The sequence below is a fragment of the Homo sapiens genome, chromosome 16 (assembly GCF_000001405.40).
Source record: "Homo sapiens chromosome 16, GRCh38.p14 Primary Assembly".
NCBI lineage: Eukaryota > Metazoa > Chordata > Mammalia > Primates > Hominidae > Homo > Homo sapiens.
In genome coordinates this window covers 77,513,959-77,530,285 of record NC_000016.10, presented here as the reverse complement: position 1 = coordinate 77,530,285, position 16,327 = coordinate 77,513,959, and the positions used below count along the sequence as shown (strand labels likewise).

At 40.7% G+C, this 16,327-nt stretch overlaps 1 long non-coding RNA gene across 2 annotated transcripts in view; it reads left to right on the top strand.

Annotated features, from left to right (window-relative positions):
• The first annotated feature begins 14,136 nt into the window (after positions 1 to 14,136).
• LOC105376775 (uncharacterized) overlaps positions 14,137 to 16,327 on the top strand; it is a 53,183-nt gene continuing 50,992 nt past the window's right edge. For both annotated transcript variants that reach the window (XR_933752.3, XR_933753.3), the window contains exon 1: positions 14,137 to 14,308. This is a non-coding gene — a long non-coding RNA (uncharacterized LOC105376775). The remainder of the gene's footprint in view (positions 14,309 to 16,327) is intronic.

Below are 16,327 nucleotides of genomic sequence, written 5' to 3'. Positions count from 1 at the left end.
ACTTTTTGATGGGGTTGTTTTTTTCTTGTAAATTTGTTTAAGTTCCTTGTAGATTCTGGATATTAGGCCTTTGTCAGATGGGTAGATTGCAAAAATTGTCTCCCATTCTGTAGGCTGCCTGTTCACTCTGATGGTAGTTTGTTTTGCCATGCAGAAACTATTTAGTTTAATTAGATCCCATTTGTCAATTTTGGCTTTTGTTGCCATTTCTTTTGGTTTTTTAGTCATGAAGTCCTTGCCCATGCCTGTGTCCTGAATGGTATTGCCTAGGTTTTCTTCTAGGGTTTTTATGGCTTTAGGTCTAACACTTAAGTCCTTAATCCATTTTGAATTAATTTTTGTATAAGGTGTAAGGAAGGGATCCAATTTCAGCTTTCTACATATAGCTAGCCAGTTTTCCCAACACTATTTATTAAATAGGGAATCGTTTCCCCATTTCTTGTTTTTGTCAGGTTTGTCAAAGATCAGATGGTTGTAGATGTGCGGTGTTATTTCTGAGGCCTCTGTTCTATTCCATTGGTCTATATGTCTGTTTTGGTACCAGTACCATGCTGTTTTGGTTACTGTAGCCTTGTAGTATAGTGTGAAGTCAGGTAGCGTGACGCCTCCAGCTTTGTTCTTTTTGCTTAGGATTGTCTTGGCAATGTGGGCTCTTTTTTGGTTCCATATGATCTTTAAAGTAGTTTTTTCCAATTCTTTGAAGAAAGTCATTGGTAGCTTGATGGGGATGGCATTGAATCTATAAATTACCTTGGGTCGTATGGCTGTTTTCACGATATTGATTCTTCGCATCCATGAACATAGAATGTTCTTCCATTTGTTTGTGACCTCCTTTATTTCATGGAGCAGTGGTTTGTAGTTCTCCTTGAAGAGGTCCTTCACATCCCTAGTAAGTTGGATTCCTAGGTATTTATTATCTTTGAAGCAATTGTGAATGGGAGTTCACTCATGATTTGGCTGTTTGTCTATTATTGATGCATAGGAATGCTTGTGATTTTTGCACATTGATTTTGTATCCTGAGACTTTGCTGAAGTTGTGGATCAGCTTAAGGAGATTTTGGGCTGAGATGATGGGGTTTTCTAAATATACAATCATGTCATCTGCAAACAGGGACAATTTGACTTCCTCTTTTCCTAATTGAATATCTTTTATTTCTTTCCCTTTCCTGATTGCCCCAGGCAGAACTTCCAACACTATGTTGAATAGGAGTGGTGAGAGAGGGCATCCCTGTCTTGTGTCAGTTTTCAAAAGGAATGCTTCCAGTTTTTGCCCATTCAGTATGATACTGGCTGTGGGTTTGTCATAAGTAGCTCTTATTATTTTGAGATATGTTCCATCAATACCTAGCTTGTTGAAAGTTTTTAGCATGACAGGCTGTTGAATTTTGTCAAAGGCCTTTTCTGCATCTATTGAGATAATCATGTGGTTTTTGTCGTTGGTTCTGTTTATGTGATGGATTACATTTATTGATTTGCATATGTTGAACCAGCCTTGCTGGGGATGAAGCCAACTTGATCATGGTGGATAAGCTTTTTGATGTGCTGCTGGATTCAGTTTGCCAGTATTTTATGGAGGATTTTCGCATCGATGTTCATCAGGGATATTGGTCTAAAATTCTCTTTTTTTGTTGTGTCTCTGCCAGGCTTTGGTATCAGGATGATGCTGGCCTCATAAAATGAGTTAGGGAGGATTCCCTCTTTTTCTGTTGATTGGAATAGTTTCAGGAGGATTGGTACCAGTTCCTCTTTATACCTCTGGTAGAATTCAGTTGTGAATCCATTTGGTCCTGGACTTTTTTTTGGTTGGTAGGCTATTAATTATTGTCTCAATTTCAGAGCCTGTTATTCGTCTATTCAGAGATTCAACTTCTTTTTGGTTTAGTCTTGGGTGGGTGTATGTGTCCAGGAATTTATCCATTTCTTCTAGATTTTCTAGTTTATTTGCCTAGAGGTGTTTATAGTATTCTCTGATGGTAGTTTGTATTTCTGTGGGATCGGTGATGATATCCCCTTTATCATTTTTTTATTGCGTCTATTTGATTCGTCTCTATTTTCTTCTTTATTAGTCTTGCTCGTGGTCTATTGATTTTCTTCAACTTTTCAAAAAACTAGCTCCTGGATTCACTGATTTTTTTGAAGGGTTTTTTGTGTCTCTATCTCCTTCAGTTCTGCTCTGAACTTAGTTATTTCTTGCCTTCTGCTAGCTTTTGAATGTGTTTGCTCTTGCTTCTCTAGTTCTTTTAATTGTGATGTCAGGGTGCTGATTTTAGATCTTTCCTGCTTTCTCTTATGGGCATTTAGTGCTATAAATTTCCGTCTACACACTGCTTTAAATGTGTCCCAGAGATTCTGGTATGTTGTGTCTCTGTTCTCACTGATTTCAAAGAACATCTTTATTTCTGCCTTCATTTCGTTACTTACCCAGTAGTCATTCAGGAGCAGGTTGTTCAGTTTCCATGTAGTTGTGCGGTTTTGAATGAGTTTCTTAATCCTGAGTTCCAGTTTGATTGCCCTGTGATCTGAGAGACAGTTTGTTGTGATTTCTGTTCTTTTACATTTACTGAGGAGTGCTTTACTTCCAATTATGTGGTCAATTTTAGAATAAGTGTGATGTGGTGCTGAGAAGAATATATATTCTGTTGATTTAGGGTGGAGAGTTCTGTAGATGTCTGTTAGGTCTGCTTGGTGCAGAGCTGAGTTCAAGTCCTGGATATGCTTGTTAACCTTCTGCCTCATTGATTGGTCTAATATTGACAGTGGGGTGTTAAAGTCTCCCATCATTATTGTGTGGGAGTCTAAGTCTCTTTGTAGGTCTCTAAGGACTTGCTTTATGAATCTGGGTGCTCCTGTATTGGGTGCATATGTATTTAGGATAGTTAGCTTTTCTTGTTGAATTGATCCCTTTACCATTATGTAATGGCCTTCTTTGTCTCTTTGGATCTTTGTTGGTTTAAAGTTTGTTTTATCAGAGACTGGGATTGCAACCCCTCCTTTTTTTTGTTTTCCATTTGCTTGGTAGATCTTCCTCCATCCCTTTATTTTGAGCCTATGTGTGTCTCTGCATGTGAGATGGGTTTCCTGAATACAGTACACTGATGGGTCTTGACTCTTTATCCGATTTGCCAGTCTGTGTATTTTAATTGGTACATTTAGCCCATTTACATTTAAGGTTAATATTGTTATGTGTGAATTTGATCCTGTCATTATGATGTTAGCTGGTTATTTTGCCCATTAATTGATGTAGTTTCTTCCTAGCATTGGTAGTCTTTACAATTTGGCATGTTTTTGCAGTGGCTGGTTCCAGTTGTTCCTTTCCATGTTTAGTGCTTCCTTCAGGATCTCTTGTAAGGCAGGCCTGGTGGTGACAAAATTTCTCAGCATTTGCTTGTCTGTAAAGGATTTTATTTCTCCTTCAGTTATGAAGCTAGTTTGGCTGGATATGAAATTCTGGGTAGAAAATTCTTTGCTTTAAGGATGTTGAATATTGGCCCCCACTGTCTTCTGGCTTGCAATGTTTCTGCTGAGAGATCTGCTGTTAGTCTGATGGGCTTCCCTTTGTGGGTAACCTGACCTTTCTCTCTGGCTGCCCTTAACATTTTTTCCTTCATTTCAACCTTGGTGAATCTGACAATTATGTGTCTCGGGGTAGTTCTTCTCGAGTAGTATCTTTGTGGTGTTCTCTATGTTTCCTGAATTCCAATGTTGGCCTGCCTTACTAGGTTAGGGAAGTTCTCCTGGATAATATCCTGCAGAGTGTTTTCCAACTGGGTTCCATTCTCTCTGTCACTTTCAGGTACACCAATCAAACGTAGATTTGGTCTTTTCACATAGTCCCATATTTCTTGGAGGCTTTGTTCATTTCTGTTTACTCTTTTTTCTCTAAACTTGTTGTCTTGCTTTATTTCATTAATTTGATCTTCAGTCACTGATACCCTTTCTTCCACTTGATTGAATTGGCTATTGAAGCTTGTGCATGCATCACGAAGTTCTCGTGCCATGGTTTTCAGCTCCATCAGGTCATTTAAGGACTTCTTTACACTGTTTATTCTAGTTAGCCATTCGTCTAATCTTTTTTCAAGGTTTTTAGCTTCCTTGTGATGGGTTAGAACATGTCCTTTAGCTCAGAGAAGTTTCTTATTACCGACCTTCGGAAGCCTACTTCTGTCAACTCATCAAAGTCATTCACCATCCAGCTTTGTTCCATTGCTGGCAAGGAGCTGCTATCCTTTGGAAGAGAAGAGGTGCTCTGGTTTTTAGAATTTTCAGCTTTTCTGCTCTAGTTTCTCCCCATCTTTATGGTTTTATCTACCTTTGGTCTTTGATGTTGGTGACCTACAAATGAGATTTTGGTGTGGATGTCCTTTTTGTTGATGTTGATGCTATTCCTTTCTGTTTGTTAGTTTTCCTTGTAACAGTCAGGTCCCTCAGCTGCAGGTCTGTTGGAGTTTTCTGGAGGTCCACTCCAGACCCTGTTTTTTGGGTATCACCAGCGGAGGCTGCAGAAGAGCAAATATTGCAAAACAGGCAATATTGCTGCCTGATCCTTCCTCTGGAAGCTTTGTCCCAGAGGGGTACCTGGCTGTATGAGGTGTTTCTCGGCCCCTACTGGGAGGTGTCTCCCAGTTAGGCTACAAGGGCCACTTGAGGAGGCAGTCTCTCCATTCTCAGAGCTCAAATGCCGTGCTGGGAGAACCACTGCTCTCTTCAGAGCTGTCAGACAGGGCCATTTAAGTCTGCAGAAGTTTCTGCTGCCTTTTGTTCAGTTATGCCCTGCTCACAGAGGTGGAGTCTATAGAGGCAGTAGGCCTTGCTGAGCTGTGGTGGACTCTGCCCAGTTCAAGCTTCCCGGCCGCTTTGTTTACCTACTCAAGCCTCAGCAATAGCAGGCGCCCTTCCCCTCCACCAGCTGCAGCCATGCAGGTCCATCTCAGACTGCTGCACTAGCAGTAAGCAAGGCTCCATGGGCATGGGACCTGCCGAGCCAGGTACAGGGGAAGATCTCCTACTCTGCTGGTTGCTAAGACCTTGGGAAAAGTGCGGTATTGGGGTGGAAGTGTCCCGTTTTTCCAGGTGCAGTCTGTCAGGACTTCCCTTGGGTAGGAAAGGGAAATCCCCTGACCACTTGTGTTTCCTGACTGAGGTGACGCCCCACCCTGCTTTGGCTCGCCCTTCATGGGCTGCACCCACTGTCCAACCAGTCCTGATGAGATGAACCGGGTACCTCAGTGGGAAATGCAGAAATCACCCATCTTCTGTGTCAATCACGCTAGGAGCTGCAGACCAAAGCTATTCCTACTTGGCCATCTTGGAATGACTGGTTATTTTATTAATTCCTATCTAGAAGGCAAGTAGAACAAAGGGTAGCATTAGTAATTACTTGTATTAGCCAGGAAAGGATGTTGTTTGGTCTTTTAAATTAATTATTATTATTATTGGAGAATATACTTTTATCTTTCTCAGGCATGAGTGTAGACTGGTCTTATCTTCGTCTTGCTCTTTCATGGTTATTTTCTCATCATGGTCTTTCTTAATGTTAGTGTTCTGTGAAATCATTTTACAGGAAAGTATCACAACCTAGCTATGCATACTGGGCACTTCTTACCAATGCCAAGCTTTGGCTAATAGACGCAGACCAGTCCCTTGCTGTCAACACCTCTCTTTCTCTTTCTCAGCCTTAATGGAAGTTCTTCACAAACTGTGATGTGACGTAATTTCCATGCAGTTTTGCTGGGGCAGTAGTTTATTGTTGATGTTAATGGGCTTTAGAATCTATTACATTTGGGTTTTGAACTCCAGCTTTGCCACTTGTTAAATGTCTTATTAACTACATTATATTCTCTCAGGCTATTCTAGCCCATGTAAATGGTGATCATGGTCCTTATAGAAGCCTTATGTATAATAGTAATATTGCTATAATAGAATATTGCTATAATAGAGTACATACATAATTCCTATAATAGGATACATAAAGTACCTGGAAGATCCTTTAATCCCTAAAAAGTAAAAACACAATATATGTTCTCTTTCCATCCTTTTATTTCTCAGTTTTGTTAAGAACATTCTCCTCAAAGACCATTGTCCATAAAGACCCTACCTGCACCCGAAGGGCTATGAATACACCTCCCCCACCCATCCAAAAATTTGAGTGAATGTGCTCTCCTGTCCACACCACCACCAGCCCCATTCATCTTCCCCTCTGTCTTGCTCTTACGGCTGGTTTTCACTCTGATACATAGTTGGAAGGCTGAGATCTTTTTTTTCCCTTAACTCAGATTTGTGCTACATATGAAATGTTTTGGATCGTATTTTTTTCTTTTTCTTTTTCCTTTTTTTAAAAAATTTATTTATTTATTATTATTATACTTTAAGTTTTAGGGTACATGTGCACAATGTGCAGGTTAGTTACATATGTATACATGTGCCATGCTGGTGTGCTGCACCCACTAACTCGTCATCTAGCATTAGTTATATCTCCCAATGCTATCCCTCCCCGCTCCCCCCCCCCGCTCCCCCCTACCCCACAACAGTCCCCAGAGTGTGATGTTCCCCTTCCTGTGTCCATGTGTTCTCATTGTTCAATTCCCACCTATGAGTGAGAATATGCGGTGTTTGGTTTTTTGTTCTTGCAATAGTTTACTGAGAATGATGATTTCCAATTTCACCCATGTCCCTACAAAGGACATGAACTCATCATTTTTTATGGCTGCATAGTATTCCATGGTACATATGTGGCACATTTTCTTAATCCAGTCTATCATTGTTGGACATTTGGGTTGGTTCCAAGTCTTTGCTATTGTGAATAATGCCGCAATAAACATACGTGTGCATGTGTCTTTATAGCAGCATGATTTATAGTGTTTTGGGTATATACCCAGTAATGGGATGGCTGGGTCAAATGGTATTTCTAGTTCTAGATCCCTGAGGAATCGCCACACTGACTTCCACAATGGTTGAACTAGTTGACAGTCCCACCAACAGTGTGAAAGTGTTCCTATTTCTCCACATCCTCTCCAGCACCTGTTGTTTCCTGGCTTTTTAATGATTGCCTTTCTAACTGGCGTGAGATGGTATCTCTTTGTGGTTTTGATTTGCATTTCTCTGATGCCAGTGATGGTGAGCATTTTTTCACGTGTTTTTTGGCTGCATAAATGTCTTCTTTTGAGAAGTGTCTGTTCATGTCCTTTGCCCACTTTTTGATGGGGTTGTTTGTTTTTTTCTTGTAAATTTGTTTGAGTTCATTGTAGATTCTGGATATTAGCCCTTTGTCAGATGAGTAGGTTGCGAAAATTTTCTCCCATTTTGTAGGTTGCCTGTTCACTCTGATGGTAGTTTCTTTCGCTGTGCAGAAGCTCTTTAGTTTAATTAGATCCCATTTGTCAATTTTGGCTTTTGTTGCCATTGCTTTTGGTGTTTTAGACATGAAGTCCTTGCCCATGCCTATGTCCTGAATGGTAATGCCTAGGTTTTCTTCTAGGGTTTTTATGGTTTTAGGCCTAACGTTTAAGTCTTTAATCTATCTTGAATTGATTTTTGTATAAGGTGTAAGGAAGGGATCCAGTTTCAGCTTTCTACATATGGCTAGCCAGTTTTCCCAGCACCATTTATTAAATAGGGAATCTTTTCCCCATTGCTTGTTTTTCTCAGGTGTGTCAAAGATCAGATAGTTGTAGATATGTGGCGTTATTTCTGAGGGCTCTGTTCTGTTCCATTGATCCATATCTCTGTTTTGGTACCAGTACCATGCTGTTTTGGTTACTGTAGCCTTGTAGTATAGTTTGAAGTCAGGTAGTCTTTTTCTTTAGAAAGCTGGTAATAATTAATCCTGTACTTGAAACAATGGAAAAATTGATAGAAATTTTAGAAGCTGCAAAAACCCAAATAGAGTCTACAGTGTTCTCTCAAAATAATGAAATTGTGACAATAATGTGTTATATTTAAGTTTAAGCAGCAATTTCTTGGGCATGATTCTGGCTAATAAAAAAAATACAGAAGGGTTTAGAAAAATGGGTGGGATCCTACAGTTGTAGGATGGAATTTAAGAACACAGTTCACACATAGACCAAAGCTGCTCTGATACTTGCTTTAGTTTGGGCTCCCCTCGAAGCAGACACTGAGCAAGAATTTAAGTAGAAGAAATTTACTAGGGAGAGGAAAGAAATACCAGTAGAAGTGTGGGCAGGTGAGATAGAAAAAGGAAGGCAGTTAATAACAGACACGTTTCCAAGGCAGTAACTCCTGTGACCACTGGATGTTAGTCTTGCTTGGGAACTCTGACGGCCAATGTACAACAAACACCTCCATGTGTCTCTCCCGTGAATGAGGAAGTCAGGGTATTTATTCACTAACTCTCCTCAGTCATTGGCTGGGGGATGTTCCCAGTGGGATTTGTTTCCTTGTACTTCTGACTTCCTGCACTTACAGATGGGCAGGTAAATTGGGCTTCAGCAGCTGAAGGAGGTCCTGAGGCAGACCAGGCACAGTGGCTCACGCCTGTAATCCCAACACTTTGAGAGGCCGAGGCAGGTGGATCAGTGGAGATCAGGAGCTCAAGACCAGCCTGGCCAACATTGTGAAACCTCTTCTCTACTAAAAATACAAAAATTAGCCAGGCACGGTGGCGCACACCTGTAATCACAGCTACTCAGGAGGCTGAGGCAGGAGAATTGCTTGAACCCAGGAAGGCGAAGGTTGCAGTGAGCCAAGATCGTGCCACTGCACTACAGCCTGGGGGACAGATCTGGACCCCATCTCAAAACAAACAAACAAAAAAACAAAACAAAAAAAATCCTAAGGCAGAACCCAGTGAGCACTTTAGCGATGAGAATATATGACTGGGCACTCATAGCTACAATGCTGATTGCAATTTAAATTCGAAGTTACATGTGTATGCTGGTCTGAATATTTGCATGCCCTCAAAATTCATATGTTGCAATCTAATCACTAATGTGATAGTAATAGAAGGTGGGGCCTTTTGGGAGATAATTAGGTCATGAGGGCAGAACTATTGTGAATGAGATTAACTTTCTTATAAAATAGGCTCAAGGGAGCTTGTTTGCAGCTTCTACCATGGGAGGACACAGCAAGAAGTCAGTGGTCTGCAGCCCAGGAAAGGGCCTTCGCTAGAGCCTGTCCAATGCTGGCACTCTGATCTTGGGCTTTCAGCCTCCAGGATTGTATAAAATAAGTTTCTGTCACTTATAGGCCACCTGGTCTATGGTGTTATAGTAGTCCAAGCTGACTAAGACAATGTGACTTAATAGACATGTCCTTATTTTTAATGGCAAACGGCTTTCCGAAGTATAGTTTCAGAAAGCAGCATAGATTAGTGAGAAAGACATTAAGATATGAACTCAGACAGGCTTGTTTCCCGTTTCTCATGGTGTCTGTCTTGCTTGACTTCTTTGGGCCCTGGTTCCCTTATTCCTTCCGCAGTCATAAGCAATGATCAAATGAGGTTACCAAACGCAGCATGGGGTAAGATGTTTCGTAGGCACTCAGGAAATTGAAATTCATTTTGCATTTTCTTCTCTATACAGAAAGTTTATTTGGCCCCACTTGCTTTCAGAAATTAGTCGAGAGGAAACTAAAGGAAAAAATGGAGTTTGAAGCAATGATTTTTACCTACCTTGGTTATGATTGTATGGTTGCTACTCCCATCAGCAGTACAGAGAAGACGTCTAGGTGTCTGGAGCTGACGTGCAATGTACCATTGTCTTTCACTGCCACTGGTTCTAACTGCCGTGGAATAGAAGCCAGTGATTGTGTGGGACTTCCTTTGTTCATTAGTATCTTCTGATTATTGAAGTAAAATATATGTTTTTCTACTACTGAAATCTGTTATAATCAGGTGTCCTCAAAGGTAACTTTATACCCATCAAAGCTAGAGAAACTGTTAACTCTGTTTGGCCTTTGCAAATGTTTCTCTCTCTCTTTTTTTTCTTTTTTCTTTTTTTTTTTTGAAACGGAGTCTCACTCTGTCACCCAGGTGCTGGAGTGCAGTGGCACAGTCTCCACTCACTGCAACCTCTGCCTCCTGGGTTCAAGTGATTCTTCAGCCTCAGCCTCCCGAGTAGCTGGAATTACAGGTGCATGCCACCATGCCTAGCTAATTTTTGTGTATTTACTAGAGACGGGGTTTTGCCATGTTGGCCAGGCTGGTCTCAAACTCCTGGTCTCAAGTGATCTGCCTGCCTCGGCCTCCAAAAGTGGTGGGATTACAGGCATGAGCTGCCACACTTGGCCTGCAACTATTTCTTAATGGACATTCGTCTTCTTTGTTTCTATGTCACTTAAGAGATCATGAACTCTTAGCCAAAGATACCTTCTATTACTACTACTATTATTGCTACCAATACTAATAAATACTGTGAGAATGACTAGGACGATGATGCCTATTACTACTTTACTATTACTACTATTACTATTGCTGCTACAAAACGGCTACTACTACTATTATATTATTACTACTTAATGCTACTGCTATTATTGTTGCTGCTGTTGTCACTAGGACTACTACTAGTGATGCTACTGCTGATAGTTTTGCTACCACTTCCAGTTGCTGTAATGTTGTCAATACAGTGCCTGCCTGGGAGATCTTGTAAATAGCATATGCAGTTGTTTCTGTGCTTAGCATATTTATCTTCATGACACTGCCATGAAGCAGGCACTGTTTTTGCTCCATTTTACAGGTAAAATCCTAAGGCTGAGAGATGTAAACTAACTCGTCTACTGCCAAGAGTTACAATTATAATTTGATTTTAGATCTGCTGGACACCCATGCTTAGCTCCTACCTACTACCCTCTGTGGTTCTTTTTGAACACTCCCTCCCATGTTTAATTTTTTTGCAGAAGGTCAGGCTGCATGAGTGTGACACAGGAGGACTGAGTATACTAAGACGGACGCTGGTGATGTGATTCCATAAAATTTTAAACTCAGTTAACAAAGCAACATGGGAATAAGTAGACCACACAGCTTAAAAGTGTGATGTGGGCCATGCACGGTGGCTCATGACTGTAATCCTAGCACTTTGGGAGGCCAAGGCAGGCGGATCACAAGGTCAGGAGATTGAGACCATCCTGGCCAACATGGGGAAACTCCATCTCTACTAAAAATACAAAAATTAACTGGGCATGGTGGCACATGCCTGTAGTCCCAGCTACTTGGGAGGCTGAGGCAGGAGAATCACTTGAACCCAGGAGGCAGTGGTTCCAGTGAGCTGAGATTGTACCACTGCACTCCAGTCTGGCCACAGAGTGAGACTTGTCTCAAAAAAAAAAAAAAATAGAGTCACAATCATAATTTGATTTTAGATCTACTTGACACCCATGTTTAGCTCCTACCTACTACTGTCTATGGTTCTTTTTGAACACTCCCTCCCATATTTCATTTCTTCGCAGAAGGTCAGGCTGCATGAGTGTAACACAGGATGACTGAGTATACTAAGATGGGTGCTAGTGACGTGATTCCATAAAATTTTATAGTCAGTTAACAAAGCAACATGGGAATAAGGAGACCGCACAGCTTAAAAGCATGATGTGGGTCATGTGCAGTGGCTCACATCTGTAATCCCAGCACTTTGGTAGGCCGAGGCAGACAGATCACAGAGTCAGGAGATTGAGACCATCCTGGCCAACAAGGAGAAACCCCGTCTCTACTAAAAATAAAAAAAATTATCTGGGTGTGGTGGCACCACCTGTAGTCCCAGCTACTTGGAAGGCTGAGGCAGCAGAATTGCTTGAACCTGGGAGGTGGAGGTTGCAGTGAGCTGAGATTGCACTGCTGCACTCCAGTCTGGTGACAGAGCAAGACTCCATCTCAAATAAACAAAAAAAATGATAAAACATGATGTATGCATAACACTGTATTTCCTTGGACAAATCTCCTAACCTCTCTGAACCTCAGGTTTCCAGATCTATCATGTTAAAATAACAGTAATACCTCATTTCCAGAGTTGTTCTGAGGATTGGGAGGATGGTCTCTTTGTAAAAGCCTTTTGTAAATTGTAAGCATTTTCAATCATAAGTTATTATTACTCTAACAAATTTGGAGGCCGTGTGATGACTAGACAAAGAAGACAAGTAAAGCTAATAAATGAATGCAATTAAGCAGTAGTTTAAAACCAATTATTTTATTTTTGCCACTTTGTTTATTGTTACAAGGCCAATTGTCACATGAAAAATATTCAGGGAAACTGTCATTTGACATTCCTGGTGGTCATGTGTAGAGTGAGGATGACTAAATGAGGCAGAAGAAGTGCTGCATCTTTGTTTCCAATTCCTGACTTCTCTCATTCCACGTTTCACTGGGGTGAGGTTGTCTAGGCTCATCCAATACTCTATTCTACTGGTTTCTTCCTACTTTGGGGAAGGGAATAAGGCTCAGGGTTGGGCTTTGACTCTTTCCTTTCCCCAACCTCCTTGTATTGAAGACTTTTAATGCTTAAGAAAGATCAGGAAGGGTCAGAGTCAAAGCTCCCGGTATTTCTCTTGCTTTTCATAACTAGTCATGATTCATTGAATGAATAAATAAATAGGTCTCAGGTTTTTCCTTTAAGAAGGGACTTAATTACCTCTTTGTTCCACTATTAAACAACCTTATATTACCTGGTTAAGTGCATATATAGCATCTAAAGAGTGTATAATATAGTCATTTATTTCAAGTTCATTTGTTTTTGTTGTTGTTATTTGAGACAGGGTCTCACTTTGTTGCCCAGGCTAGAGTGCAGTGGTGCAATCTTGGTTCACTGCTATCTCCGCCTCCCAGATTCAAGCGATTCTCATGCCTCCGACTCCCAAGTAGCTGGGATTACAGACGCCCGCCACCACACTGAGTTAATTTATTTTTGTATTTTTAGTAGAGACATGTTTTCTCTGTGTTTGCCAAGCTGGTCTTGAACTCCTGGCCTCATGTGATCTGCCCGCCTCAGCCTCCCAAAGTGCTGGAATTACAAGCCTGAGCCACAGTGCCTGGCCTTATTTTAAGTTCAGATCCTATCCTCTATTACAGAATCTTTGTTGTGACAGGTGAAAGAATGGCTCCTGCACTGTCTTCAATGGTCCCAACCCCACCCTTCAATGGAAATGCATCACATGACATGGATTTCAGCACTGACCGTCTTTTCCCGATAGTCAGTAGAGAAACTATTCCAAAATATCCTAACTACTCTCTTCCTTTTACTTCATGGCTACTTGGGCCAGTCAGCCTCTTTGCTCCTCTTCTCAGAGTCCCACTTCTGGATGAGCTATCCGTCATTCTGCTCCACTTTGGATATGGGTCAGTTGGGGTGGGAAGTAAGACCTATGGTCATCTTCATCAAGTGCGGGATCCAACTGGAATGCCAAGACTAACCCTCGCTGAGCACACCTGCTTTTCCTTTTTGAGTGAAAGGAATAATTTGTTTGTTTCTATCTTAGTTATTTGTATTACTTTCTTCACTATTCCTCGAAACTGGATTTTGTCTTTTTTTTTGGTCTTTTTTCTTTTTCTTTTTTTCTTGATATAGGGTCATGCTCTGTCACCAAGACTGGGTTGCAGGTGGTGCCCTCACAGCTCACTGCAGCCTTGACTTCCCAGGCTCAAGCAATCTTCCTACCTCAGTCTCCTGAGTAGCTGGGACTACAGGCATACACCACCATATCCAGCTAATTTTTGTATTTTTTGTAGAGATGGAATCTTGAAATGTTGCCCAGGCTGGTTTTGAACTCCTGGCCTCAAGCAATCCTTTCATCTTGGCCTCCAAAGTGTTGGGATTACACGTTTGAGCCACCATGCCTGGCCCTAGATTGTATCTAATGAAAAATGCATGTTGAAGTTTGAAGAAGTTTAGTAACTAGAACATAGTATTTGAAAATTATTTGCTCAATGAAGAAACAACAGTGTAGATGAAATCTTAGTAGTGAAGGTTCAGAACTCCAGCAATTTCCATAAAGAGGAAGCTTTTCATCCTGTGTTTCCATCCCTGGTAATGAATTTATCAACCCAAGTCATCTTAGTAATGTTTGAGTAATTTTGTATTTTGCTGAATTCAAATCATGATTGAGTAAAATGAAGAAGCAATACCAACTTTCTTAACATAGTATAGCTGGCCACATTATTCTTAGAACAGATGTATTTCTGTTTGACATGATAATGTATGGCTATGGGTCATATTTGGAGATTTAAATTTGTTTTCTGATTCCCGTCTACAGAAAGTGATCCATCAATAAATGGAGTTTGGCCACCACAAAAATGTTCTTTATGGAGTTCAGAGGCAGAAACTATACATCCAGGAGTGAATTGACAATGATCTCATATGACAGATGGACTTAGGTGTGTATTATATCCAGCCCTGAGATCCTTTTAATATGTTTTTTCTGTGTCATAGAAAGGTAGGCCCTGATCTTTCACCATCCCATTGTGTTCTATGTGTATCCAATCAAGCAGATATTTAATCATCGAACTAGAATTTTACGTTAAATTGTTGGGGCTCTGGCTTTTTTTCAAAAAAATCTGAAATGCAACATGCCTCAGTGTAATTAGGTAAAATCAGATGTTCTAAAGAATGTTTTTACTTCCATGTATGTGTACAAACAATTTGTAGCTTAATTTACAAATATATCAACTTCTTAGCTAAGACATAATTATGTTCTTGGATCTTCTGATATAAAAAGTTAAATCTTTACAGAGAAAGCTAAGAAGATACATGAGCACCTTTAGAATAATGATTAATAAACAAGACATTTGACAAAATGTTGGTTAAAGGCATTAAAATCACTCCCTTATTCCTGAAGTTTCAGATCTGGGAGATTCCAGTTTTGAAAAGAAGTATATAAACTTGACATCTGAGGGGATGTGTATATGAAAGACCCACAAAAATGTCTATTGAGTTCTTTCTTCTTCATCAGAATTAAGTCCACAGATGAACAAGCTAAGCTTTGTGTGGGGTCCTGAGATAACCTTCATCATGATTTTACAGCTAACAGGCAAAACTGGTCATGCACTTGTGCAATTTTCCCGTTTGTTTATGTAAATTCAGCCACACATTCAAATGCTGTCCTCTGTTCCATCACCTTGGTTCTCTTAGCTTCTGCTTCCTGCAAACTAAATAGCCAAGTGTCTTCGTGTGTGCAGCTACTACGTGATACTTTGCCTTTCATTCTCAACATTTTACTCACCCAGCTCCCTCATCCCTGAATAATATCTCTACCCCTCTGTTGAGCTGTAAATCACAGATGGAGTAGTTAAAAGAACACAAAATGTAACACAAGGCACTTCTCTCCCCCGGCTACCAATTTGTCTTGCACTTTATTAGGAGGCACTGTGATGGGAAATGCTCTAAGATATTGCTGAGGTTTGGGGAGTTTGCTACAGGATGCTGAAGGGCCTGCCTGCCAAGAAATGGACCAGAGAAATAAGTGCAATTTTATGACTTGGCTCTGTTGAGAATTTAAAGCAGGGGGACTTTCTGAAAGTTCTGCATATTTCAGCAGGTACGAATTTGGCTTCCAGTTACGATGAAAATTATGAGATGCTTGGGGTTTTAGCAACCTTCTAGCCCAGGCATGGCTTTCTTAAATGGTGATTTTCCCAGCTCTGGCTAAGTATGACCAATAATGAGAACTCATTATGTCTCAAAACATTCTGAATGAGAATAGTGTGGGCTAGTCTTTGCTAGTAATGATTATAGTAATAATAGAATAATAACTAACATTTATAGAGTGGGTTTTTAAAACATCTGTCAGACCAATTCCCTAAGCATTTTGCTTTGTGTAAATTATTTGTACACTGAGAAAGGCACTAATAGTATTTCCACTTTACAGAGAAGCAAATAGAAGCTCACTGAAATCAATGTACTTACCCAAGGTCACACAAGGTTAGATTTCTGAGCCTAGTCTCTTAACTATATTCCCCCGCATGAGCCGAACTTCCCCCTATATATTCTCCCATGTGAGCCAGACTTCCCCATCTTGTCATGCTCTCACATCAGTCCTGTATCTCTGCTCTGGAGCTACATGGAGCATACCTATCCATCTCTTTTCCTACTTGCATCCTGATATGGTCTGGATGTTTGTGTTTGTGTTTCCTCAAAAGTCATAGGTTGAAGTCCCAATCACCAAGGTGATGGTCTTAGGTGTTGGGTCCTTTTGGGAGATAATTAGGTCATAAGGTTAGTGCCCTTATAAAAGAGGCTCCAGAGGGTTGCCCCATTCCTTCCACCATGTGAGGACACAGCAAGAAGGCGCTGTCTGTGAAACAGGAAACAGGCCCTAACTATTCACTAAATCTGCTGGCACCTTGATCTTGGACTTCCCAGCCTCCAGAGCAGTGGGAAATTAATTTCTGTGTTTA